Source organism: Homo sapiens, chromosome 11 (genome assembly GCF_000001405.40).
Source record: "Homo sapiens chromosome 11, GRCh38.p14 Primary Assembly".
NCBI lineage: Eukaryota > Metazoa > Chordata > Mammalia > Primates > Hominidae > Homo > Homo sapiens.
In genome coordinates this window covers 64626873-64651212 of record NC_000011.10, presented here as the reverse complement: position 1 = coordinate 64651212, position 24340 = coordinate 64626873, and the positions used below count along the sequence as shown (strand labels likewise).

The window sequence follows — 24340 nt, the reverse complement described above, 5'->3', positions numbered from 1 at the left end:
CTCCCCCTGCTGAACCACATACAGCTCTCCTGGCTACTGGCCGAGGTGTCCAATCCCCCCAGATCACAAGTCAAGATTCAGGTCCCCGACCGTAAGTCGAGAGGCTCCCTCTTCAGCCAAGATGGAGAAGCACACCCTCTTCCACTGCTGACTCCCCAGCTGCTTCCTTGCCAGAGTTCCCTGTTATATCTGTTCTCTGTCCACTGTCACCTTCTCTACAGGCAGAAGTCAGTCTTGCCCCTCCGTTGCCTTAGGGGACCCCACTCCAGAGCAGCCCAGTCCCTGCCTCCAGAGGACCCTGCTGACCCACAAACCTCTCCCCTCTAGCTCCTCTTCTGAGGTTGTGTCACAAGAGCCGGCTCCTTGGTGGCCCTCCTTCCTTACATTCTCCCCGTGACAGGACCTCACACCATAGCCCTCTTGCCATTGGTTTTGGTCGCTCTCCTCTGGGGTCTCCCTTTCAATCCCTCTTCCCATGGCACCTAGGACCCCTGCCAGCCATAGCTCCTCCTCACCCCACCTTCCCAGCATCACCCCCGCCCTGACCCAGTGTCTCCTCCCTACTGTGGGGCAGGTACATCCACTACGTGTTTGACCTGGGGAATGGCCCGTCCTTGATGAAGGGGAACTCAGACAAACCAGTCAATGACAACCAGTGGCACAACGTGGTGGTGTCCAGGGACCCAGGCAACGTGCACACGCTCAAGATTGACTCCCGCACTGTCACGCAGCACTCCAATGGCGCCCGAAACCTCGATCTCAAAGGTGGGGCTGGGGCCTCTGGAGAAGGCCTGGCCCTAGCCCAGATACCCCTCACCCCAGCGAGATCACCCCATTCCTGCGACGCTGCTTCCCTCGGTTCCCTGCCCCCAGTTTCCACCTCTCTTTCCCTGTCTCCACTATGTCCAGCCTGACATCTTCCTGTCCAAGTTCTGCTTGGCTCTCTTGTGAGTCTGCATGTCACCACTGAAAGCCTGGTTGCAGGATGCGTCTCACAGGGTGCTTGGTGGCCTCATTCCAGAGCTAGGAGTAGGTAACCCAGGCCCTCCAAGGACCTCCTGGGCCTCCAAGGTTGAGAAGCCTATGTTGGTTGAGGGCTGGAGTGAGAATAGGGAGCTTAGCATCCTCCTGGGTGAGGTAGACGCTATGGGGCAGAGGACGTAGCAGGAGCTAGAGTCCCCGAGTCACCTGTCTTGGGCATCGGCTGGGCTAGCTTGGGGACATTTTGGACCTAGGCTTCCCTGGTGTGCTCAGGGTCACATCAGGGTGCCACATTCCCCAGGGCCTCTTCAGTGGTCATTGAAGCAGTCATTGCCTGCCCCCAGAATGGGTGACTGAGAGATCAGGGAGGAGGAGGGTGAGCTAAGGCCTGAGCATTGGGACAGGAAAGATGCAGCTTCTCCAGAGCCTACTGAGGGCAATGTGATCTACTTTCTTGCACATGCCCAAAGCAGCCCTCAGCCCCATAGGAACCCCTGGGCATCAGCCTGCCTCATACTGTCAGAGCTTGGGGAGGGTCCTCAGAGACCATGGAATTAACTGCCCCACTCCCTCAGATCTGAGATCTGTCAGATCTCTTGACATAGTGCTGTGAATTCCCCTTGTTCTCAGAAGGGGGCGATGTGTCACAGAGAATCCAAAGTGGCCCCAAACCCCGGGGGTTATCTTGGCGGGTCTTGTGTTGTACTGAGCCCGTGGCCAGGGCAGCAGACTGACCAGTGTCTTGACTGAAGCTCGGCTGTGGGCTGGCTAGGGCTTCCAGGGATTCCAGGGAGTTAGGCTCTGTGGCAGGGGATCAGGTGTTGCGGAGGAGAACTTCCCAGAGTCCCAAGGCCAAGCCCTAGTTGTTGGGGGAAGGGAGCTGGGCTTTGAACTCCCTAGGAGAGAGCCCAAGAGTTGGGAAAGGCTTGAAGGAGTTCTGGGAATGGGAAACTTTGGGAGGGAGGGAATGGGGGTGGACGGGATTGGGCTGCGCATCTATGAAAGGCCCTGATTACGGGCCGGAACTGGAATCAAATGTGTGGGAGAGAGCACAGAGCAGGTTCCTCCAGCTGTCCCCCAGCCCCCACTCTCCCAGGCATCTGGGCTTCTCTGGGAGGGGAGCAGGCAGATGGCAAAGTGGAGAAGGAAGAAGTGTGTTGGGGGGGTGCGGGTTGTGCAGGTCTCTGGATCTCTGTTAGGGACCTGGAATCTGGGATGGAACGCAGAGAACCTGAGAAGGCTGGGAGGACCTGACAGCCAGATGCCATTGTCTTGGGATGGGAATGGGGACCTGGATGCCTTGGTTGACCCACTCCCTTTGCAGGGGAGTTGTACATTGGCGGTCTGAGCAAGAATATGTTCAGCAACCTGCCCAAGCTGGTGGCCTCCCGGGATGGCTTTCAGGGCTGCCTGGCCTCAGTGGACCTCAACGGACGTCTCCCAGACCTCATCGCCGACGCCCTGCACCGCATTGGGCAGGTGGAGAGGGGCTGTGATGGTGAGTGGAGGGTGGAGGAGTGAGGTGTGGCCCTACTGGCTACAGGATGGCCAGCTGCAGAGGCAGACCGGGGCAGGTAGCCTTTGCTCTGCCAAGGGGCCTTCCTTCTCAGGCCTTATGGGAGCTTGCCCCCACAGTTCTGGGGCAGGGATACAGGTGTGTGAAGGGTCACTTGCCCTCCCTGTTGTCTCACACCCTGGCCCCTTGTCACAGTCCAAGGCCAAGCCTAGCAGACCTGACCCTCCTGCCCCAATCCCTGTCATCAGTACTTGGCCCTTTCAGCCAGGCAGAGCTCAGAGTAGGACCTCTCTGCCTGGCTCTGAAGCTTCCACACCTCCTGGGGAAAGAGGGGGCTTGGCTGAGCCAGGGGTGTTCCTTTCTCCTGCCCCTTCCAGGCCCCAGCACCACCTGCACTGAAGAGTCCTGTGCCAACCAGGGCGTCTGCTTGCAGCAGTGGGATGGCTTCACCTGCGACTGCACCATGACTTCCTATGGAGGCCCTGTCTGCAATGATCGTGAGTGCCTGGGAGGGCTGGGGGCAGTTTGGGGAGACCAGGGTCCATTCCCAGCCATAGGGGCTGCCAGGGAGGAAACAGGGCCTCTGAGCATTCAGGAGCTGTGCTGCTTCTTCCTTCTCATCCCTTGTCTGCAGAGTCCCAGGGGAGCTGTGGCCTGCTGTCCCCTCATAGGGTCTTTCTCCTGGGGCTGTGCAGGATTGCTGCTGCCTGAAGCTCTGGGGGGACCCACTGATAGATGGCCTCTCCTCCTTGTTCTCAGCTGGTGGGACCCTGCTCCCTTCACCCAAAACCAAAGGTGTTGGCCTTAGTGGGGTGAACTTGCTGCTGTCCTGTGTAGTTTTGGTGATGGCCTTACATGTACTTGTACCTCACACAGACACACTATTGCACAGGGAGGGGGGCTGTTAACAATCTGCACCCCCTTTGGTGCCCTCAGGGCATGAAGTGGGAATCTGTTATTTCCTGCTGAGAGCAGGACCACACCCCAGAGGACAGGCTCTGGAGGCTTCCAGGAGGCCAGGCTGCTGGACAGCTGGTTTCCCTGGAATGGGCTCCTCTTTCTTCCCCAATAATCCCGGCTGCAGTTTGTCCCCTTGAGCCACAAGGTCACTCCCTACTGTCTTCGCTTGGTTCTTTTCCTCCTAGGCTGGACATCTGATTGCCAACTTGCATTCTGTTTGAGGCCCCTCCCCAGAGAGGGCAGGGTCAGCAGCAGCTCCCAGTCCCTAGTGGTTGGTGGCCTGCAGCTGGTTAGAGCCCTGCAGAGGGAGGGCAGCTGAGGCAGGAATGGCGGGGAGGCAACCTTCTACTCTGTGGGGTAGCTTTGGCATTTCCCTTGGATGATGGGGCTGGAGTGGGTGGGCAGAGTGCAGCCTCCTCAGCATTGCTTGAATCATCTTCCCTGGGGTCCTGCTGAGAGACCAAGCAGAAAAGTCAACTGCCTGGGAAGAAACACACACAGGCACGCACACACACATGCACACACACACACACACACACACACACACAACGAAGCGTCTCCATTTTACAGACATGGAATACGGCTGGAGAGGGACAGTCGATTTCTGGAGGTAGTTCATAGCAGATTTGGGGTGAGACTCCAGTCAGTGCCTTTGCCTCCATACCACACTGCGGGACCTTCATCACCTGGGCATGAGTCCTGAGTTTCTTACAGGAGAAACCTACTGGGTCCAGGAGCTCTTGGGTGGTGTTAGTTTTTCTTTCCCCTTTGAAAAAAATGTCTACCCCATCTCCCTCAGTGCTTTCCTCGTGTTCTTAGGCATGTCCAGCCCTTGGGTACCACCACATCTCCACTCTGTCTCCCAAGATTTTCCTTACTTGACCTGCTGCTGTCTGTGCCTTCCAAAGCCTCCAGACAATGGCCAGCTGAGGGTGTTCCAGCCTGACTGCCAAGGCATGGAGACCTGGCTGTGGCTGGACCTCTTCCCCTCCAGCTAACTCAGTTTTGCACAGATCTGGAGATGATGGTAACTTCGTTGCTTAATAGTAACACTCCCCACTAATAGTTTCATGTTTTGCTGCTACAAGGCCCTTTTAATTTGATCCTCAGAGAAGGCAGTGGCCTTTGTGTTTAACTGATACGGAAACCCAGGCCTCAGTAAGAGGCAGTTACTCACCCCAAGTCATAGAGTGTCGATGGTAGAGCTTGGCTGGAACTTAGGTGCACCTGACTGTTTGTCACTCCCTGCTGCTCATTTAGTCCTCGGGGGAGGGGTGGTGGTGGTACCCATGGTGGGCACTTCTTGCCTGGGGTGGAAGAAATCAGGATCACGAAGCGCTGCTGCCCGTCGCCACTGCTTCACTCCCACACAGTGGAGCCTTCTGGAAAGGGGGCATGAGATGGATGGGAAGTGAGGGTTGTGCTACCTTTCAGCAGGGATAGGAAGAGCAACTTCTTTGGGTACCAGGCTGGTGGGAGGGAGGGAGAGTTGGGGCTGGGGAGCAGGGTGCATCTTGGGAGGCGTCACCATCCCCAAGCACTGGTCTCTGCAAAGCTGTGGAGCTAAGACAAGGTGGGTGCAACCTGGGGGCCACACAGGGCTCAGTGTGCTGCTGCTCTGAGCTCTGGCTCTGGGGTAATGCTGAGATCTCCGCCCCTGGAGGGCAGGGCAGGAATCTTGGGAGTGGGACCCAATCCTCTCTTCTCCCAGGGCTACTCCTCCTTCCTAGCTTGTCTCTGGTTTTTCATGCTCTGTTTCTATGGCACGTCTTCTTGGGGCCCTGTGATGTACAAGGTCAGGCAGGAACCCAGCAGAGAGACCCGTTCAGTTAGCTCTGCCTTCACCCGTGGGAGGCCCTGGGGGCGCAGGCAGGCCCTGGTTTCAAGAGAGGAAAGAGGGTAGAAATGGCAAAGGTGGAAGGAGCAGGGCCTGTCCTCTGAAGGGTGGGGCTGGGGGTTGGAGCTGTCTGGTGGGGGAGAGACTAGGGTGAGGAGAGGTCACACCTTCAGAACAACTTTTCCCCACTTACCACCTCAATTTCTCCATCTGTGACATGGGGACTACTCCTGGGGGTGGAGGGGACTTTGTGTTCCTTTAAGGCTTATGAGTGTCTGCTCTGGGAAGACAGGAGAGAAAAGATGAGATGGAGGAAAGTGGACAGCAAATGAAAAAGAGAATATGAAATGAGAAAGGGTAGCTAAAAGAGACACTTCCCAGGGCTGAGATTTGGGACCGAGGTGTTCCCATCAGGCCTGCTTACTCCTCTGTCTTTCAGAGCCTGTCTCCTGCCTCTCCCAGGCGGTCAATTCCTTACCATCTCTGCCTCCCTGTCTCCGTTCATCTCTGCAGTCTCTATTGATCTCTTACATACCTCTGTCTTTCCCTTCTTTTTTACCCTCTATATCTCCCCCTCCCTTCTCAGCCTTGGCCCCCCCATCTCTCTCCAGTTCCCACTCACTGGTATTGATTGGCCTCTAGGCGGTTTCCCTTCCTTTCCTCTCGCCACCGGCTCCTCCCTCCCTCCCTGTGGAACCATAAATTTTCTGCCTGCTCAGAGCTGTGTCAGTCTATATTCCAGATCCAGGGGCCCAAGAACGTGATAGAGAGGGCAGGAGGACGTGGCCTCTGGGGGCCCCAGCCCTGCTCCTGGCATGCAGTCTCTCCTCCAGCACTGCATGGCTCGGGGCCCTGCACCACCGGAAGCCTCCTCTGGGTGCCTCTGAGGACCGCTTTCTTCACTTCTAAAGACCTGGGGGCCAAATCCAGCTCTGGCATGTAGTAGGGATGGAGGACTGGCAGCAGCATTGGGGAGATGTCCTGGGTCCTGACTGCATCCTGGAGCTGGGGGTGGCACATGGGGCTCGTGGTGACAGTTTTTGCTCCCAAATGGAGTTTAGAATCAATAAATAGGAGCCAGCTCTCTCCAGCCCCTCCCAGCCTCCTCTCTCCCAGCCCTCCCCTTTCTCACTTCACCCGCCCCTGCCTCCTGTCCTTTCCTTACCCAGCCCTCCTCCTCACTCCGCTGCACTGTTTCTTCAGCTCCCCCAGGTGCCCTCTCCACCTCTCTCCTCCTTTCCCTCCTCCTCTACCCTCTGCCTTCCCACCCTCTCCCCTGTCCGAGCAGGTTGGTGCATACGACCCGGTGACGGGAAAGGAGTCTCTCTGTGCTTACCTCTGGGGCCACAGGTGCTTTCCAGAGCGTCCAAAAGTTTGGGGGACAGAACCCAATTGGAGGGCATCCTGAAGGAGAAGTGGTTTCCTCAGCTTGACATACGTGGCCCAGGAAGGGTTTTGTCCTAAATGGGACACTCAGTGGGCAGGTGTCCTCTAGACCCCCCATGGAGGGAGAGGTTGGGGCTGGGGGAGGGGCAGTGGTAGTGGAGAGGAAGGATTGGAGGAGTCCAGGAGAGGCTTGTGCAGGGGGCTGGGGGAGCAGCTTTTTGGGGAGGTGGTGGGGAGTTGTACGTGTGTGGCATGTCTTATTCCTGAGTACCTCGAAGGCTCTGGGTGCACTGTATGCTGTGGACCCTATTTTGGAGGGTGAGCTTGGGGAGCAGGGGTGTCTGTGTGTATGTTGGCCATTCATGTCCTGTGATCAAACGTGTGTGTGCACGGATGTATGCCCTGTGAGCATGTGTATATGCTCCCCTGAGAGTAAGTTGGTGTGCCAGTGTCTGTGAGCACATGCATGCATGTATGTGTCTGAGCCTGTGTGCCTACCCGCACACTGTGCCCATATGGGCACGTGGATGTTTCCATACCCAAGCCGATACACATCTCAGTGTGCACGTGCGTTGCGAGGGGTGGTGCAGAGGTGGCCGCCGCGGCATCTCAGCAGGCTGTGCCAGAGAGCATTATTGGGGTTCATCCGGGTGGGGTGGGCGGGGAGGAAGAAAGTGGCCTCTCTTGCTAGCCTCAATCCCGTTCCATTATTCAGCAGGGTCCCTTCTCCAGGAGGGGGGTGCAGGAGGAGCGCGCGCGTCCAGGCGCGGGGGAGGGGCGGGCGCGCGCAGAGGAGAGGAGAGCGCCGAGCGGGCTAGCCAGGTGCCGCGCGGCTGAGCTGCCCAGCGCCGCCCGCAGATCGGGAGCCGCTCTGGTCCCTCCGCCCTGCCCCCTCCTCCTCCCGCGCTTCCCCTCCCCTCTCCGCTCTCCTCCTTCCCTCCCTCCCTCCCTCTCTCCCTCTCTCCCTCTCTCCCTCCCTCCCTCTCCCTTCCAGCCCTCTCAGCCTCTGCAGCAACACTTCGCTGCCTCCATCTCTCCGCCGGAATCTCGCAGGCTCGCGCCTTTCCTCGGCTCAGCCCCGCTCCCCTCCTCTCCTATCCCCTCCTCTCCTATCCCTTCATTCCCCCCTCACCCGGATTTGCTTCCCTTCCCCCTTCTCCCGCCCCCCCCTCCCCCGGCCGCTCCCTCCTTTCCCCCGGCCTCCGTCGGGCGGCAGCGGCAGCAGCGGCGCGGCCGGCCCCAGTCGCCGTCGGTCTCCCGCCTTCGGGGGAACCAGGTCTCCGTCCCTCTTCTCTCCTCCAGCCCGCACCGCCCCGCTCCCCAGCTCGGTTTTTCCGCAGGATTTCCCTCGCTCTCCCCTCCCTGCTTGGCCCCCGCGCTCCCCTCCCTCTCCACTCGGCACCATGCCCCCTCCCCCGGGCGCTCCCCCGGGTTTCTGACGGCCCTCTGCGCCGCTCCGACCCCGCCGGGATGCAGAGAGACCCCTAGCTCCTCGCGATGGACCCAGGCATCCTGGACCTTGGCGTTGCCGCTCCGCGGACCCCCGATTTCCCGGCGGGATCCAGTTGATTTTGTTGGCTCCGGACCGAGGCTTGGGCCCTGGTTTACCTCCGCTTCATCCCTACCCCGCTCCCGGAGCTCGGAGCCGGAGGGGGGCTTCGCGGGGCTGCGCAGCCCCGCGTCCCCGCCCCCGGCCATGGGGCTGTGAGGCGGTCGCCCCCGGGCCGAAATGCCCCCCGGGGGGAGCGGGCCGGGGGGGTGCCCGCGCCGCCCCCCGGCCCTGGCTGGGCCCCTGCCGCCGCCTCCACCGCCGCCGCCGCCACCTCTGCTGCCGCTGTTGCCGCTGTTGCTGCTGTTGCTGCTGGGGGCGGCCGAGGGGGCCCGGGTCTCCTCCAGCCTCAGCACCACCCACCACGTCCACCACTTCCACAGCAAGCACGGCACCGTGCCCATCGCCATCAACCGCATGCCCTTCCTCACCCGCGGCGGCCACGGTAAGTGGCACTGTAGATGCCGGCCACCCGGTTGGCCCGGGGGCGGGGGGCGCTTCCCGTGTGCGCAGCTGGGCCCCCGCGGGCCCCACCCCAGCTGTGCACGCCGAGCCTGGCCCCTCTGCTTTGCGTCCCGGAGCCCCTTCACCTCCAATCTCCAGCTCCCATCATCTCAGCCCCACCCTTGCCTCCATCTCTCCTCTCCCCCATCACCCTCATCTCTGTCTTCAGCACTTTGCTTCCTGGCCTCACCTAAACCTGCTTACCCCTAGGTCTGGTTCATTATCTCCTTCTACTTCCTTACCCTCCCCGCCCTGTCTGTCCTTTCATCCTCTCCGTGCAGCTCTGCCTTCCATTTCTCTTGCGCATCACCTTCTCCATCTCGGCCCCTTATCATCTCTCCATCTGTCTTGCCTCCACCTCTGCCTCACCCTCACCCTTCCATCGCTGGTCTGTCATCTCTCCCCCTTCACCTCTCTCCCACCTCTGTCACATCTGTCATTTCTGCCTCTGACATGTCTCTTCCTCCTTGACCTCTTCATGTATGTCTCTGTTTTACCTCCATCCCTCTAGCAACCTTCCTTTCTTTTCCCATGACTGGCCTTCCATCACCTCCCAACTCACTCCACTGTCCCGCCATTCTCCCATCCTTGTTCCCCTAATCTCTAGTGTCTCCCTTCCATGTCCCCTCATCTCTGCTCTGTCTCTACCTCTGACCCCCAGCATCTCACCTCTGTAGGTCCAGCACTTCCCGTTTCCAGGCTTCCCCTCCTGTGTCAGTCCTCTATCGCTGTCCACTTACAATCACCTCCTATCTCTGCCCCTCATAACCATCTATGGAAAAACTTAACCTTCCTTCTCAGACCCCATCACCTTCTCATTTCCGTCCTTCCTCAGCCCCATCTCAGGCCCCCCATCACTTCATATCTTAGACCCCTAAGATTCTCTGCATGCCATCTCTTCTCACCCCTGTACCTGTCACCTTCCATCTCTGTCCTCCATACTCTGTGCCCCCATCACTCCCAAGCTCTGTCCTCCCCATTACCTTCTACATCTGGCCCTCTTCACATTTTATTTCATCTCATGTCAGCCCCATCACTTTCCACCTCAGTCCCTCCACGTTCCATCTCAGGACTTCTGTCACTTGCATCCCAGGGACCTCCTCACCTCCCATTTTAGTCTATTCATCACTTCCCATCTCTGCACCTTGTCATTACCTTTCAGAGGGTAGCCCCATTACCTCTATCTCTGTACCTCTCTCACCTCCCATTTCTGTGCCTCCATCCCATCCCATCCTGTCCCATCTCATCCCATCCCTGTGCTCTCAACACCTCACATACCTGTCCTCCTATTCATGTCCTCTCCTCTCTGTGCCCCTCTCTCTTCACCTTCCATGTCCGTCGCCTCCCATCAGGGTTCTCTGACACCTCCATGCTCCCATTCCCTCTCATCGCTGTGCCTTCATCAGTTCTCGCTTTGTACCCAGGTGGCCTCCCATGTCTGCACTTCTCTCCCTTCCTATCCTTGTACCCTCATCACTTCCTGTTTCTGTCTCTCCATCCCCTCTTATTCTTTACTCCATTTTTGCTCCTCCATCATCTTCCATTCCTGTATTTTCACCCTTCCCATCTGTGCCCCTGGGTGCCTCCCCATTCTTGCTCCATGCCAGTCCCTCTTTGCTTCCCAATCCTGCCCCTGTATCACCTCCAATCTTTCTGCTCATTTGCTGGTCTTCTTCCTTTTCTCCTACTTTATCTTTATCTCCCTTTTCATGCTTCCGTTTTCTCTTCATCCAGTTTCCCTGGAGCACTTCCTTCAAACTCTTTCCTCCATTCTTTTATTCTCTCATCCCGAATACAGTTTGCCTCATCTTATCTCTGTCCCACCTGGCTCCTCTCAGGCAACACTCTTCAGTTTCCTTCTCTTCTTCCATGACCCCACCCAACCCCTTGCTCCTGGACCTTAACTCCCTCCCCCTCCCCAGGAACTCTCTGGCTCTTTGTTACCTTCCTCCCCCTTTCATTGTCTCCTTCTGGCTCCCTTGAGGCCCAGTGTTGCCCCCAAAGGTGCCCAGATAGGCCATGGTCTTTCTGGGCAGTGAGGCAAAGCATGAAGGAGTCAGATAGATAAAGGAAGTCAGGGATACTGGGGAGCTTTGCAGGATGAAGAGAGTGTGGAAGAGGAAGGTGTAGGAGAGAGGAACTGGCTGAGGGACCCTGAGCAGGTAGGAAGGAGGGCCTGGGAGCCAGAGTGCCCAAGGAAGATTCCGTGAAGGAGCAAAAGCTGGACAGAGGGATTGAAAGTGGCCAGAAGAGTATGGAGGACAGGGTATGGAATGTTGGCCTTAGGATCACCTCAGAGATGGCCACCCCTTTGCTGTGCAGAGGAGAAAGAGGACCAGTGCCTGGTGGAAACAGGAAGAGCCATCTGGAGGGTGCTCCAGGATGGCGATAGAAGGGGGTGGGAGGTGTGGGGGAGGAGCCTGTGAAGGGTGGGGCAGCTGAGAGGAAGGACGAGGGCCCAAGGAAAGGAGGAGAAGGGATGAGGCCACCTGTCCTGGCTGAACCCCACCTTTGCTCCCGTTAACCATTAACCATGGTGGGAGAGGTGAAAAGACAGGCTCTTCTTGGGACCCTACACTTGGCTGGAGGACCAGGCCAGCTCAGGAGGCCTTTCCAGGCCAGGCTTCCTCTCTGCCCAGTGTCTCCCTAGCATCCCCAGTGGGAGGCAGCCTCTCTCCTTTCTGCACCAGCTTCTCCACTTGCCTTCTTTTGGGGTCTCACTGTGTTTCTACTTGCCTTCTCTCCTCTCTTCTCTTCACACCATCCCCCATTTACCCTGCCATCCCCCCCAACTCTTCCTGTTACATAATGTCCTTACCTGCCAGACACCCATTGCCACTCCTGTACCTGATGTCTGTCTGGGGCATGGGAGGACTGGCACACCTGGGTCCTAAAAATGAGCTGAGCCCAGGGGTGACACTCTCCTGGTCCTGGATCCCCAATTCTGGTTTCAGAGTCCTTGAGGTTCCTCCCACCCCACCGTGTTCATTTCTGGTACTGTCGGGCCAGGAATGGAGTGGTCAATCCCTGCTAATTTCTGAGTCAGTAGCTTCCATGGGTTCCAGGTTTATCACTCCAGCTTATAAAGGGGGCTAGCATTTATTTTGTTTCTGAACAGGGTGTGTTAACTTGGATTTCTGACTGGATGGTTTATGGCCAAGCAGGGGGTTAGGAATTGAAAGGCTGTGTTCTGGGATCCTAGATCAAGAGACAGCTGAGCACAGGGATCTAGACCATTAGAGATCTCTCTATCTGGGATGTAAAGGTTCATGTACAAAGCGCTGGTGTGGGCTGCGAGCACTAGGGCCATGGCTTTTCTGGGTTGTGCAGGATGTTTTATCCTCTCACAAGTCTAGATATTCCAGAAGGTTTTCTTTCATGGCTTCAGATGCTGCAGGCACACAGGCAGGCAGAGGTTCTGCACATGTAGTTTTAACCACAGGGGCATCACTGCATGGGTGGTTTTCTACATGGATGATTATGTTGTTTGGGTCTGGGTTAGCTAACCATTATTAATGGTTGGTTGGTTTTTTTCTAGAATGCAGGTGTGTGTGGGACTGCATGGAATATTCTTGAACATTTAGAGTATTTCACTGGATGAGTGAATTTCTGGGTCTAGGAGGTATTGAGGAGACTATATTGGACATGGGCAGAAGGTGCCGAACCTGGGCCTATGGCATCTTGTGTTTGGCCAGAGGCTTTCTTGCCTTAGGCTTCAGGTGTGTAGTTCTCTCTGAAATGTTATGCACAATTCAGCTCACTGGTGGTTTCCTAGAGAGGTCAAAAACAATTGGTCTACACCACCCTTGGGCAACATTTTTGGGCCTTGGCTTAGGCCCCTCTTGCCTTTCAGACCCTTTCTGGAGCCTGTCAGGTTCTAGATGTGGTGCCCTATTTTGCGCTCCGTGTCTCCTAGAAGACAGCTGTGCCTTCCCTGGGGGAGTCCGTGGGCAGGGCCGAGGACAGCTTGCCGGGGTGAGAGGCTGAAGGCGCCTCCGGAGCGCGGCTGGGGAGGGGCCTGGCGGAAGCCACGCCTCCCAGCCCCGCGGTCTCCCGAACCCCAGCCTTCTGCGCTCCGGAGGCAGCCGCGGTGCTGGGGAGAGAAATGTCTCCCCAGGGTAATTACTGCCGCCCCAGTCCAATAAACCATTCATCCTTCACCTCTTCTGCCCAAGAAGTGTCTCTCCGCCCAGTCCCCCCACAGTGTAATAAACGCCCTTAGGCTTTAACAGACCCGCCCAGCGTAATAAACTGGCAGCAGTGTGAGAACGGCTGGGTGATAAATCCCAGGGGAGGTCTGGGCTTGGGCAGCCTGTGCGCCGCGGGCCTCGGGGGCGGGGACGCGTGCGCCCTGTCCCACGCTTGGCCAGTCCCTGTCCTGGGGCCGCCTTCCCTGGTCTGTCTTTGTGCCTTCACCGCCATGTTTCCTGGCTGCTTCGCCTCCTGTCGGGGGTCTGCCTCTCTACGCTGGGTCTTTGTGTGCAGCTGGGTGCGTCGCCGCCTGTGTGTGGGTGTGGGGCCTGGGGCTTGGGCGCTGGGCACCGCCTCTGATCCCTCCTGCCTCACTGCCTGCCCAGTGGGGCATTTGGCCGGCTTTTTCCTCCCGCCCTCTCTGGGCACAGACAGGGCTCTGTCCATGGTGATGTGCTTGCTGTCTGGAATCTGGGGTGGGAAGTGAAGAGAAAGGGCCTCTTTTCTCCTAGACCTGGGGGATTTGGAGGCAGCCTGCAGGTAGACTTGGTTTCCTTCCCTGGTCTGAGGGATCAAGAAACCCAATAAAGCCTTCTCTGAATGGGAGGCCCTGGAGCCCAGGGGTGAAGAGGCTGCAGCCTCTGATCAGGAAGGTGAGGGTAGGAATGTGTGTGGAGGAAGGTCAGCATCTCTGCTCCCCTGGCCCGCCCCACCCCCCAAATTCAGATGTGCATCTTGTGTGGAGTGGGGAGGAGGACCCTGGGTATTACAGTTGTCATGGAAACAGCCGATTTTCCAGAGTGCTGCAGTGCTGGGAGTGGAGAGACCGTTACCGGCTGAGGCCTACTGGGCTCCCCACCTCCAGGCGCTGCCCTTCCAGGCAGGTGACCACATGGGGTGGGGGTGGGGGTCACTGCATACCCCACTGTCAGCCAACTCTCCGCCCTCGACTTGGGGCCCCATCCTGAGGGTTCAGTGCTCACCACTGTGCTCCAGGGCCCTCAGGTAGAAAGGACACCTGGGTCTGGGGAGGGCAGAGCCAAGCCCCCTCTGTCTGCTGGGGGTGGTTTCTTGGCCACAGGCAGAGGTGAGATGTCAGTTATTAGCCATCCAGGTGGTTCTTTCCCTCCTGCCCTTCCTCCCAGGGTCACCTCTCACTCTGGGGGGATGGAAGGTGTTGATGGTGGGTGCTCTGGGGAACAGCAAGGGGACCCATGGCTCCTGCTTCCCCCAACCCCCTGCTGGCCTCACTACCTCTTTGGGAACCAGGCAACAATCTTCCCTTCTCTCCTCAGCACCTCCCTGGGCCTGCAGATGGTGGCTCCCCCCAAAGCACTCAGGCAGCCCCTCCCCTTTGGGGTCCTAGGAGCTCCCTGGGATGGAGCCTCCTCACCCCTGATTGCCCCAACTACAAGGGGGTTCAAGTCCCTGAGGCGAGAGACCCCGAGGTACCTGAGGGAACCCGGCCTAGTGTTACCAACTGGGCCACCTCCTTGGCTGCTGGCAAGGCCTGCTCCTTAGAAGTGCTGCAGGCCCTCCTGCCCCCCACTGCAGGCTCCTAGTTCCTGACTCCAGAGTTCTCCCACCCCCAGACTGACATTTTCTCCCTGTCTAGGCTTTTGCCCTTAGGCCTCATCTGTTTCTCTCCTTCTTTAAGTCCTCCCTTGAACCCCTCTCCTCACAAGAAGTGCTTTGTGAGGAGTCATTAGTGGCTAATTATTTAATTAAGCATTTTATGAATCTCATCTGCTCCATTTATGTTCTAAAGAATGCAAGATTGTTCTCTACCCTTCCCTTCTCTGCAGGCCATGGAGTACTAGTCCTCCAGGCCTCCCAGACAAGGCTCCTTTCCGGGAAACTGGGTGACCAGCCCCCCACCCCCACCCCCACCCCCAGAGAGCTCAGTCAGCCGCAGGAGGGAACATGGCGACTAATGGGGTTTATTTTGGGGCTGAGATCGTTAGGGACCTCACACCCGCCCCCAGCAGCCGGCTGGCGAAGAAGAGAAGGAGAAGGGGAGAGAGGGTGGGGTAGGGGAGGGCTGGGAGAGGGAGCCTTCATCTCCGGCTCCCACTCTCCTGTTTCTCTCACTTACACCCCTCTCTGTCCTTCTCTGTCCATCTGTCTCTCTGCCTCCTTCCTCCTCTGGCTGTCAATCTCCCCTCTCCCCCCTCCCCCACCCCCACCTCATGGCTGTCTCTTCCTTTCTGGGCAGGGCTCCAGGACCTTCCTGCTTTGGGACCCAGGCAGCCCCCTGGGTGAGGGCGGAAGCAGGGAGTCCTGGGCAAGCCAGGAGAGGGGTTGGGATGGGAGATGTTGGAGGGCGCCAGCTCTGGCCGTGAGTCAGAGCTGCACACAGCTCTGCTCATCTTCCTGCCATCACCTGGGGTTCCTTGGTGCCTGCTTAGCTCTGGCCCCAAAGAAGCACACACCTTGGATCTGTCACCTCTGCCAGGCCTGGGAGAAGTGGAGCTAGTCAGGACTGGGCCCCCTGGGTCTTTCCTGCCCACAGCACTCTTGTCTTCTCAGTCTCCTTACAGCTTCTCTCTGGGCTCTCTCTCTGTGTCACTCTATTACCTCTCTATTTTGCTGTAATTAAAGCTAGCATTCTTGATGAGGCAGCTACATCTGTCTGTGCGCGTGCACAGGCTCTCACCCAGGCACCCGCCTGCCAACTTCTCCCTGGGGTGGCAGGGCTGGTGGCTGCTGTGGGTATCACAGCTGAAGTCCCACATCTAGACCTGGGGTTCCATCCCTCTGGTCACAACCCTGAGGACCTGCTGACCTCGTCCTCCTGATGTCATTTCTTCTTGTCTCCCTTTCCTTCTCTCTGCAGCCGGGACCACATACATCTTTGGGAAGGGGGGAGCGCTCATCACCTACACGTGGCCCCCCAATGACAGGCCCAGCACGAGGATGGATCGCCTGGCCGTGGGCTTCAGCACCCACCAGCGGAGCGCTGTGCTGGTGCGGGTGGACAGCGCCTCCGGCCTTGGAGACTACCTGCAGCTGCACATCGTAAGGACCCTGGGCCCCAACCCTTCAACCTCAAGCTTCCTGCTCCCAAATCAGTTCAGCCCCTCATTGCCATGGGATCAGCACCTCAAGTCTTCCCTCATGGGGAACCCTCAGAACCTCTGTTCCCTCATTGCTGGAGCTTCCTGCTAAGAAGTTCTGCTTCTGAGACCCTTCCCTCTCTCAGTTATTCACCAAGACTCCCAGATCCACCCTCCCATCTGATTCGAATTTCTCCAGCTCCCCACTCCCTGAGACCACCTGTGTTTTCTGACCTTCCTAAAAGTAGTCAAGGGCCTCTTTGGGACTTCCAGGCCATTCTCCTGTAGCCTTCGGAGGTGTCCCACATTTGTGACTTCCCCTGGGCTGCTGCCTGCTCACTCCTAGACCAGCTAGGCCAGCCTACTGTGTCCTGCACCTATTCCTGCCCCTCCTTCATACCTACCTGCCCCAGGGCAGCCCACCCTTGCAGCTTCATCTTGCCTCTGGATTCTGCCCCTGCCTCTATGCTGCCCTTGACTTCTGCTTCCGTGACCTTTGCCCTCCCAGCAGCCCCCTTACCCTGTCTCCTTTACTGCCTCTCTAGCCAGGTTCACTCCTCACTGACCTCTTGGCCCAGCCCCACATCCTCACCCTGACCTCAGCTCCCACCTGGCTCTGCCTTTCTCTGCTCAGCTCCACAGGGAGAAGCCCTAGCCCCTCCCTGTGCCTGCTACCCACCTTGACCTTGGTTCCTTCCCAGGGTCTCCCTCTGGGCCTCCTACCATATCTGCAGCTCCTTGACTCACCGTTTTGAGTCCTGTTGAACTCTAGTCTGCAAGTGGCCCCTTTTCTTTCCCTGCCCTTTCCCCCATCTCTGGCTCTGCCCTACACCCTTCCCTACGACCTCTGGTATTGCTCCATTTCATTTCTGGTCTCAACCTCTCCCCTGACCCCTCCCCACAGTCCTCAATCCCGAGCCTTTGCCCTCAGTCTTCATCTGTACATTTCTGGCCCCTAACAGCCACCTTGTTTCCCTGCCTGTATTTCACATGCTCACCCTGGCCAGGACCCCTGTGCTGTGGGGATCAGGCAGGCTGGCCAGGCTTTGTGGGCTGGAAAGCTCTGGGTGAGGGGCCCCTGGCTTTCAGGAGGGCATAGTTAGTTGGAAGGGGAGAGAGGAAGCCAGGGGAGAGGCTTGTTTGGGCTCTGATCTCTCCCCATCTGCTTGGGAACGCAGCCACTGGCCTTCATTACACAGTAGCTTTTAAGCATCCCAGGTCTGCACCCCACCCCAACACCAGGGTGTGAAGGAAGGAGCATGAGGGGAGACTTCCTGTGGGCAGAGCAGAGCTGGGGTGGAAGTGGCAGCGGATGAGGAAGGGGTGCAGAAGGAGGACTAGCAAGCAGAACAGTAGTCAGGCCCAAGAAGAGGCCTGGAAGTTCTGTACCTGTGTCAGCGGGACAGGCAGTTATCTAGAATGGTGAGAGGCAGCTGGCAAGCGAAAGACAGTGTGGCTGTAGACGACAGTGTGGGACTGGATGCATGGTGATGTGTGTCAGGAGTGACGGCTGTGACAGTGGGGGATGAAGACAGAGACTGGATCTCATGATTTCTGATGGAGTGTATCTATAGATGTGTATTTCCCCATGTAGTGGTGTTTGCAGTTGTTTCAATTGCCTTTCTGGGTGGCGGGGTGTGACTGGGTTTCCCTGTGTCCTCTGTGAGTGAGGGCTGCTCCTTCTCTCTCTTCTCCCTCATGCGAAGCTCTGCATGGCTTGCAGTAGATGGTCTGGGTTTGAATCCCAACTTTGCCACTTCCTTGCTGTCTTTGTGCAAGTCACCGCAGCTGTCTGAGCCTCAGTTAGCCCATCTATGGAGTGGCATAGGAAGAGGACAGAGGGATGTTTGGAGGTTGAAGGAGATCACTTATGTGAAGAACGTAGGGAGCATGCTGTGTTAGCTAGTATCCCGACCATCTCTGATCAGCTACCTAGGCAGGACTGTGGGCCTCTGTGCCTGTTAGGTTAGGGCGTAGGGCTCCCCTAGTACTGAGGAGAAAGGGTAGGGGGATCAGGATGCGAGGAGAAGGGATTTCCTCCTTTTCTCTCCCAACAGTTGTGAACAGGCCTTAAAGGTGCAAGGCTATGGAGGAACAAGTACTGGTGCCGGGTACGGCAGAGGGCAGGGAAGACGGGGGTCTGCCTGAGGGTGGAGAGGCCTGGCAAGGGTGGGGGTCCATGAGAGGAGCCAGCCATGAGGTGGGAGGTGGGCACCAGATGGGCTGAGGCCCCCTGGGGGCAGCCCCCAAACCCCTTCCTCCCCTGGTGACACATCAGCTCCCACCACAGCGTCAGTAGCAGCTCTCAGAGAGTGGGGAGGCGGCAGCAAAATAAGAGAAAAGCAATTTGACGTTTCTAATAAAGCGTCGCTCCACTTTGCCAAATTAATTTTGACTCCCATAATTATTTGCTGTAGGAGCGGCTTCGTTCTCCCCACCGCCGCCTAATGAGGTAATTGGGGAATTAGGAATTAATGACTTTAACAGAAGTGACAACTGACTTCACACTGGGAGAGGCTCTGGGGAGCTGCCTCTCCCCCGGAGTGCAGGGCCCTGAGCTTGACTGCCTCCTAGGAAACCCAGGTGTCCTGCCTCCCAGCTCCCTGGCCGGCACTCTGCCAGCCTGGCTCTCAGACTGCATGTGCTCCTTGACCACCATCACTGCCTGGGCTGAGCCTGTGGGGAGAAATCCTCAGAGGAATCCAGGGAGCTGATACTATTCTGGGTGGTATTATTACTAACAATAGTACCGAGGAGGATCGACTGTTCCTTCCCGTGTGTGGGGAGCAGATGATCAGCCCGTCTCCCTGGGGATGTTGTCAGTCTGTGGGTGGTGAATGGGTGGGGCTTGCTAATACTCTTTGTTAGGCAAGCCCAGCCTCAGTTTCCCTGCTTTACTGCATCTGAGGAGAGAGGCTGCATGCATGTATGACTGTGTGCATGCATCTGTGTGTTAGCGTGCATGCATGCATATATGTATGTGGTTTTCCCAGGTTCTGAGAAGGAGACAACTGGACCCCACAAGTGGGAAGGGATAGGACATGGGTCTCCTGAGCCACAGCTGCAAACCTTGTCCCCCAACTCTCTCTGCCAAACCCCAACCCTTGCCCCATCTGTGAGCCACCCCTGCCAACACCCCCAGTGCCACCAAGCCTCTCGGCTCTGCTAGATGCAGGAAGGAGGTGGCAGCTGAATGTTCCACATGTCCAGGCCAGACTGGGGCAGTCTTTCAAGAAGACCCCAGGAGTGTAGTGTGTTTCTATGATGGGTTGGGTGCCTGAGAGTGTGTGAGCCAGGGGGTTTGAGTGAACCTGTGTGAGTGTCTGTTCCGTGTGGGAGGAGGGCTGAGACCGCGTTCAGGAGTGCTGCTGGGAGGTGCAGGGAAGTGAAACAGGGGCTCAGGCTTAGTACCTAATGGGCCTTCGTTGGCTTGGTTAGATGCCTTTGGTGTTGAAGGTAGGCCTCAGCAGCCTCTTGGATCATCCCACACCCCCACCTCCTTGAGTCAGGGTCTTCCTAGACTGGTGGGCAAAGGGAGAGAACACTGGCTTTGAAGTCAGACTAGCTGGGGTTCAAATCTGGGGCTTCCTTCTCATGAGCTGCAAGATTTTGAGATGTTATTTAACTATGCTGAGCCTCAGTCTCTTTCTTGATGAAATGGGGAGCTATGAGCTTCTTCAGCGGGTTGGTGTAGGGAAGAGAGCATGCGTGTACAGTACCCACTCAGGGCCTGGCATGATTTAGGGTTTGGTGAAGCCCTCCCTCCCACTCTAGCACCACAAGCAGAACTCTTCCTGGGCTGATCCTGGGTTGCCTCTGCAGAGTGTCCCGTGGGCCTGGGTCCCAGAGATTGCTTAGGCTCTTTGCTCCCCTTCTCCAGGCCTCCGTCCCTGTCTGTCCTCTGCCTGTCCTTCCCCAGCCCCTAGCTCCACCCCCTACCCCGAAACCCCCACGATCCCCTTTCTTGGTCAGTCTAGCATAGTTTGACCCTCAGCTCTTCTGGTGTCCATCCCACCATACACACAGTCCACACCCCCCACCTCCACCCCCATGGCTGCAGAGGGTCCACCCCCACACTCAGAGCCTGACCTACTTTGGGCCTGAGAGGCTGCCAGGAGAGGCATGCTAATGCCCTGGTGTGGGTGGAAGCCCCCTGGGGGCCTGCTTGGTACAGAGCATACCAGGGAGGAGAGGCTGGAGACTGGGGACTGGGGAGGGGCTGGGGGTCAGACCTTCCTCTGGCAGAGGCCGGCTTCTGTGGACTTCTCTGCTGATCTTGCCTTAGAGAGGCCTCTGCCCTCCATGCCCCGAGCTGGTCCCCAGCTTGGCCCGATCACCCCTGTCTGGGCCCAGTGGCCCTTGCACAGAGTAGGTGCTCTGTGAATACTTGTGAATATCCAGGACAAACCAAAAGGCAAGAGACAGGTGTGGTTAGTGGAAGGCGCTCTGGGCCCAGGCTCTGCACGCACCTCCGGCCTCAAGTTACTCCCTTGCATGTGGGGAAGGGGAGCGAGCCTGCCCACCTCCTCCAGCGGTTGAGACCTGGGAAAGGTGCCTTAAGTGCTGCGGAGCTGGGCTAGTGGTGGTCACAGGAGTAGCCACTAGAAGGGATGAATGGTTGCTCCCTCTGGTCGCTGACCTCCACCTCCATGTCCCCAGGACCAGGGCACCGTGGGGGTGATCTTTAACGTGGGCACGGACGACATTACCATCGACGAGCCCAACGCCATAGTAAGCGACGGCAAATACCACGTGGTGCGCTTCACTCGAAGCGGCGGCAACGCCACCCTGCAGGTGGACAGCTGGCCGGTCAACGAGCGGTACCCGGCAGGTAGGCGGCGCGGGCCCGCGGAGGAGGCGCGGTGGCGGGGCGGGTGGCGGCCTCTGATAGGAGTGCGGCCGCACCGGGGCGGGGCTAAGCGGCTCTGGGGCGGGGCTAAGCGGCTCTGGGGCGGGGCTACTGGAGAGACGAAGCTTGCGAGGCGGGACTAGGGCAGGGGCGTGGCTAGGAAAAGTCGGGATTTGTGGCGGCGGGGCGAGACCGTGGTGGTGCGAATGCGCCCCCTATGGGGGAGGGTGCAGGGCTGAGCTGGGAAGGTTGCAAGGCCAGGGTCCAGTTTGGGGGTGGGGGGAGAAGTGGAGGGAGGGTAGAGGTGAGGAGAATCTGATGCGATTGCGGAAAGGTTGAGTTCAGAAATGAGGGAGACAGATGCAGAAACAGGAGAGAAAATCCAGAAGTAATATAAAACGTGTCTTGGCAAGGAGACAGGGCTGTTACCACGGGCAGAGCCAAGGAAAGAACCGAGGTCCTTATAAAGAGCAAGTCAGAGATCCATATTAGGAGATCTAACGAAGGAAGAGGAGTAGCCACGGAGACTCAGAGAAAAGGACCCCCAGTGTCCAAGGCGGTGAGGGACATGGTGAAAGGGAGGAAGAGACAAGTGACAACAAAAATGAAACACAGGGTCATGTGCGTTCAATAACCTTTGTTGACAACCTACTTAGATATCAGGGCTTGTGCTAGGTCCGGGGCACTCAGTCCCTGCTTGCAGGGAGCCTTGAGAATGCAGACAGACCAAGTTCAACAGGGTGACAGCTGTGGCGGCCAAGGACAAACCAAGGTCTGAGGAGCACAGGAGAGGGATGGAGATGAGGACATGGAAGAAATGAGGAGGCAGAGACTCTGAAAGATATTGAGGGAGGCAGAGACAGAGCCTTAGAATGAGAGGAAACCAGAGGGGAAGCAATGGAAAGATATGGAAATAGCACTGAACTATATGCAAAGATGAGGAGAGATGTGGAGAGGTAGATGGAGATGCTGACATGCAGGCCCAGGGAGAGAAGAGGTGGACAGAGCCTTGGGAGGGAACGGAGGAGAGCCCCAGCATGGGAGATAAAGAGGGAGGGGAAACAGGAACGCTGCAGGGAGAACTGCAGAAACACAGAGATGGTGAGATACAGTCTGAGCGACATTGCAGTCACACACAGGGCCTGACTGAGAAGCAGAGTGAGCATCTGCGACCTCCATCACTCTCCCAGGCGGAGAGATAGCCAGGCTGAGGCAGAGAAGCTGCCCCATGCTGACTGCGAGGGGCAGGGGCAAAAGGCCAATGTGTAAACTTTCATGGGCTCACCTATGCTGGAGTAAAGATGCCAGTACAGGCTTATGACACCAATTACGCAGGCTTGTACCCAGACATTTCTGGAAAGTCCCTGGAGATAAAGAGGCCTGCGTGGCCCCCTAATACATACAGAGGTTCATGTACACACAGGTCAACCTTAGACATATGGACAACTGCAGACATTTGTATGGTCAGACAGACACATGAAAAAACAGCTCTGCAGAGGGATGCCAGCCTACATCAAGTCCCTGGGTACATGTAGGGACACTCAACACACACCAACCCTCCTACACTAAATTCCACCTATCCCCCACGCCCCCCAACAAGCCAACACTGACAGCTCTGGCTGTGTAGGCATGATTCCTGTGGGCAGCAGACTTCTCTCATTCTCCGATGCACACATACTAGGGCAACCTTTGTAGCAGTGATGACATTGGCCTGTGCTGGACAGGGCTGGGCTTGGAAGCATGAAGGCCTCACCATGTCAAGCCAGGACTTGGATCTAGAGCTTCTCCCCTTGGGGCCCAGGAGGCCAGCAGTCAGGGTGGAAGAATTATTCCTGCTCTCCTCTCCTCAGGGACCCCTGACTAGGGGTGAGGAAAGGCTGCTGGGTGCCCCCGCCTGTAAAGGGGAGTAACATGAGGGTCTGGTGGTTGCCTGTATATACTGAGGGCAGATCCTGAGCAATACCAGCAGGTCAGACCATCAGTATGCATGGGCCCAGAGTGGGGGGGGACCCTCTGATTCTTTGGGAGCACAGAGACACAGCCCATGGATTCTGAGTCAGAAGAACCTGGGTTTTAATCCTGGATCTCCCACTGACAAGCGTGTAACCTTGGACAAGTCATCTAGCCTCTCTGAATCTCAGTTTCCACTTCGGAAAGGTGATGATACCTACCTCATAGCAATACTGTGAGAATGTCATTAAACACTAGAATGGCATGGCATAGCAAAGGTGCTCAATAAATAGGACTTTTATTAGAATTTTTGTATACTCAGCCTCCCTCCAGGCAGATGTACATTTTTCTCTTCCTCTTGGAGACACACACACAGGATTGAATGATCTGTTTTTAATTTAAACACAAATATCCTGAATCTATAGGGAAAGCAGAATCTCCTTGCCTCATAAGCACCCAAGGAGGCACCATCCATACCCACATGAACACATCGTGTGTACCTTCATGGGAGGTGTACATAGGCAGGCCCAGGCCCGGGTCTCTGGGCAGGTGAGCACAGCTGTGCAGTGAGAGATGAGAGGAAAAGCCTCCTGGCCCCACCAGCGTGCACTGAATAGTATGTCAGTGGCTTAAATGGGAGGAGTGGCCAGATTCTCAAAGGAAATCAGTTCTCTTTCCACTGCTGCAGACCAGGATCACCCACAGCTCACAGAGGTGTACAGATCCTCTCAGGTGCACTGACAAACCTCTTTCCACATAGGCGTCTGTGCACACACACACATTCACACACATTCCCTTTCCCAGTCTCCAGGGGCTGGAGATTGGTGAGCGCAGAGAGGAACAGGTGGGTATCCAGATGGGCAGCCAAGCTTGCAGAAGAGATGGGGGCTGGAACTGGGGGGAGGAGCCTGGAAAAGAAAGGCTGAGGGCCTGGCAGGGTGAGCAAGATGAGGTCCTGAGACAGCAAGGAGAAGAAACTGGGCTCTGAGTAGAAAATGGTCAAGGTGCATTCGGGGCAGAGGAGGGTGCAGAGGAAGGCGGGGGGTGTCTGCAGGGGAGGAGAAAGGGGCCGAAGAGGAGGTGAGAAGGGGAAGGGGGCTGCTGGATGATGATCCAGCTCCCACACCAGGCGCCACACCTGTAGTGGCTGCCCAGTAGAAAGAGAGCCCTGACCAGGGTGAGGAGGCCTTGCAAAGGGAGTGCAGTGGTGGGGTTGGGAACGGGAGGGGCTTAAGGGGGGTCATGGGTGTGGTATGAGGTGGCGGGGTCATAGGTGTGGTATGAGGTGGAAATTGAGGGGAAGCTGGGAGTGGAGCACGAAGGCAAAGGGAGTTGAGGTGGCCTGGAGAAGTGGTTTAAATCTCACTGTTCAATGTGCGTGCTGGGTGGCCCCCTAAATGCCGCATAAACCCCGCTTAACCCATCCTTCCCACTTCTAAACCGCCCTCTAAACGCAGAAACCAGTTGGGCCACTGATGCCTCCCGCCCCCAACTTAAACCTGCTAAATGCCCCTCCCCTGCCCGCCCCCCACTTTGGGATGGGGAAGGAAGGGGGCCACAG

General features: G+C 57.3%; 1 protein-coding gene and 1 long non-coding RNA gene across 12 annotated transcripts in view, besides 4 other annotated features; one reads left to right on the top strand and one right to left on the bottom strand.

Moving 5' to 3' along the window:
• The window catches only part of NRXN2 (neurexin 2), a 117024-nt gene that overhangs the window by 71985 nt on the left and 20699 nt on the right, over nt 1–24340 (top strand). For 7 of the 10 annotated variants that reach the window (NM_138732.3, NM_001376266.1, NM_001376265.1 and 4 more), the window contains 5 exons: nt 575–765; nt 2306–2479; nt 2875–2994; nt 15761–15942; nt 20640–20811. In NM_138732.3, coding sequence (NP_620060.1) covers nt 575–765; nt 2306–2479; nt 2875–2994; nt 15761–15942; nt 20640–20811 — 839 coding nt within the window. Of the gene's footprint in view, nt 1–574; nt 766–2305; nt 2480–2874; nt 2995–7667; nt 8675–15760; nt 15943–20639; nt 20812–24340 lie in introns of those variants that run through there. The other 3 variants (NM_001400682.1, NM_001400681.1, NM_138734.3) reach the window with 2 other exon arrangements.
• Nucleotides 2191–3159: an enhancer, noted in NCBI's record as "H3K4me1 hESC enhancer chr11:64415526-64416494 (GRCh37/hg19 assembly coordinates)". NCBI's record gives its function as "activates a minimal SCP1, AML or CMV promoter by ChIP-STARR-seq in naive H9 embryonic stem cells {active_cell/tissue: H9 hESC(naive)}" and the evidence as "EXISTENCE:reporter gene assay evidence [ECO:0000049][PMID:30033119]".
• NRXN2-AS1 (NRXN2 antisense RNA 1) lies at nt 2993–7364 on the bottom strand. 2 transcript variants are annotated; one of them, XR_007062722.1, is made up of 4 exons: nt 6631–7344; nt 5488–5574; nt 4635–4839; nt 2993–3909 (listed from the first exon to the last, which is right to left on the bottom strand). It is a non-coding gene; the product is annotated as an NRXN2 antisense RNA 1 (long non-coding RNA). The 2 variants fall into 2 exon arrangements; XR_001748259.3 differs by having other exon boundaries at nt 2993–3906; nt 4635–5574; nt 6631–7364.
• Nucleotides 3277–3776: an enhancer, noted in NCBI's record as "H3K4me1 hESC enhancer chr11:64414909-64415408 (GRCh37/hg19 assembly coordinates)". NCBI's record gives its function as "activates a minimal SCP1, AML or CMV promoter by ChIP-STARR-seq in primed H9 embryonic stem cells {active_cell/tissue: H9 hESC(primed)}" and the evidence as "EXISTENCE:reporter gene assay evidence [ECO:0000049][PMID:30033119]".
• Nucleotides 3777–4278: an enhancer, noted in NCBI's record as "H3K4me1 hESC enhancer chr11:64414407-64414908 (GRCh37/hg19 assembly coordinates)". NCBI's record gives its function as "activates a minimal SCP1, AML or CMV promoter by ChIP-STARR-seq in primed H9 embryonic stem cells {active_cell/tissue: H9 hESC(primed)}" and the evidence as "EXISTENCE:reporter gene assay evidence [ECO:0000049][PMID:30033119]".
• Nucleotides 13427–13995: an enhancer, noted in NCBI's record as "H3K27ac-H3K4me1 hESC enhancer chr11:64404690-64405258 (GRCh37/hg19 assembly coordinates)". NCBI's record gives its function as "activates a minimal SCP1, AML or CMV promoter by ChIP-STARR-seq in naive H9 embryonic stem cells {active_cell/tissue: H9 hESC(naive)}" and the evidence as "EXISTENCE:reporter gene assay evidence [ECO:0000049][PMID:30033119]".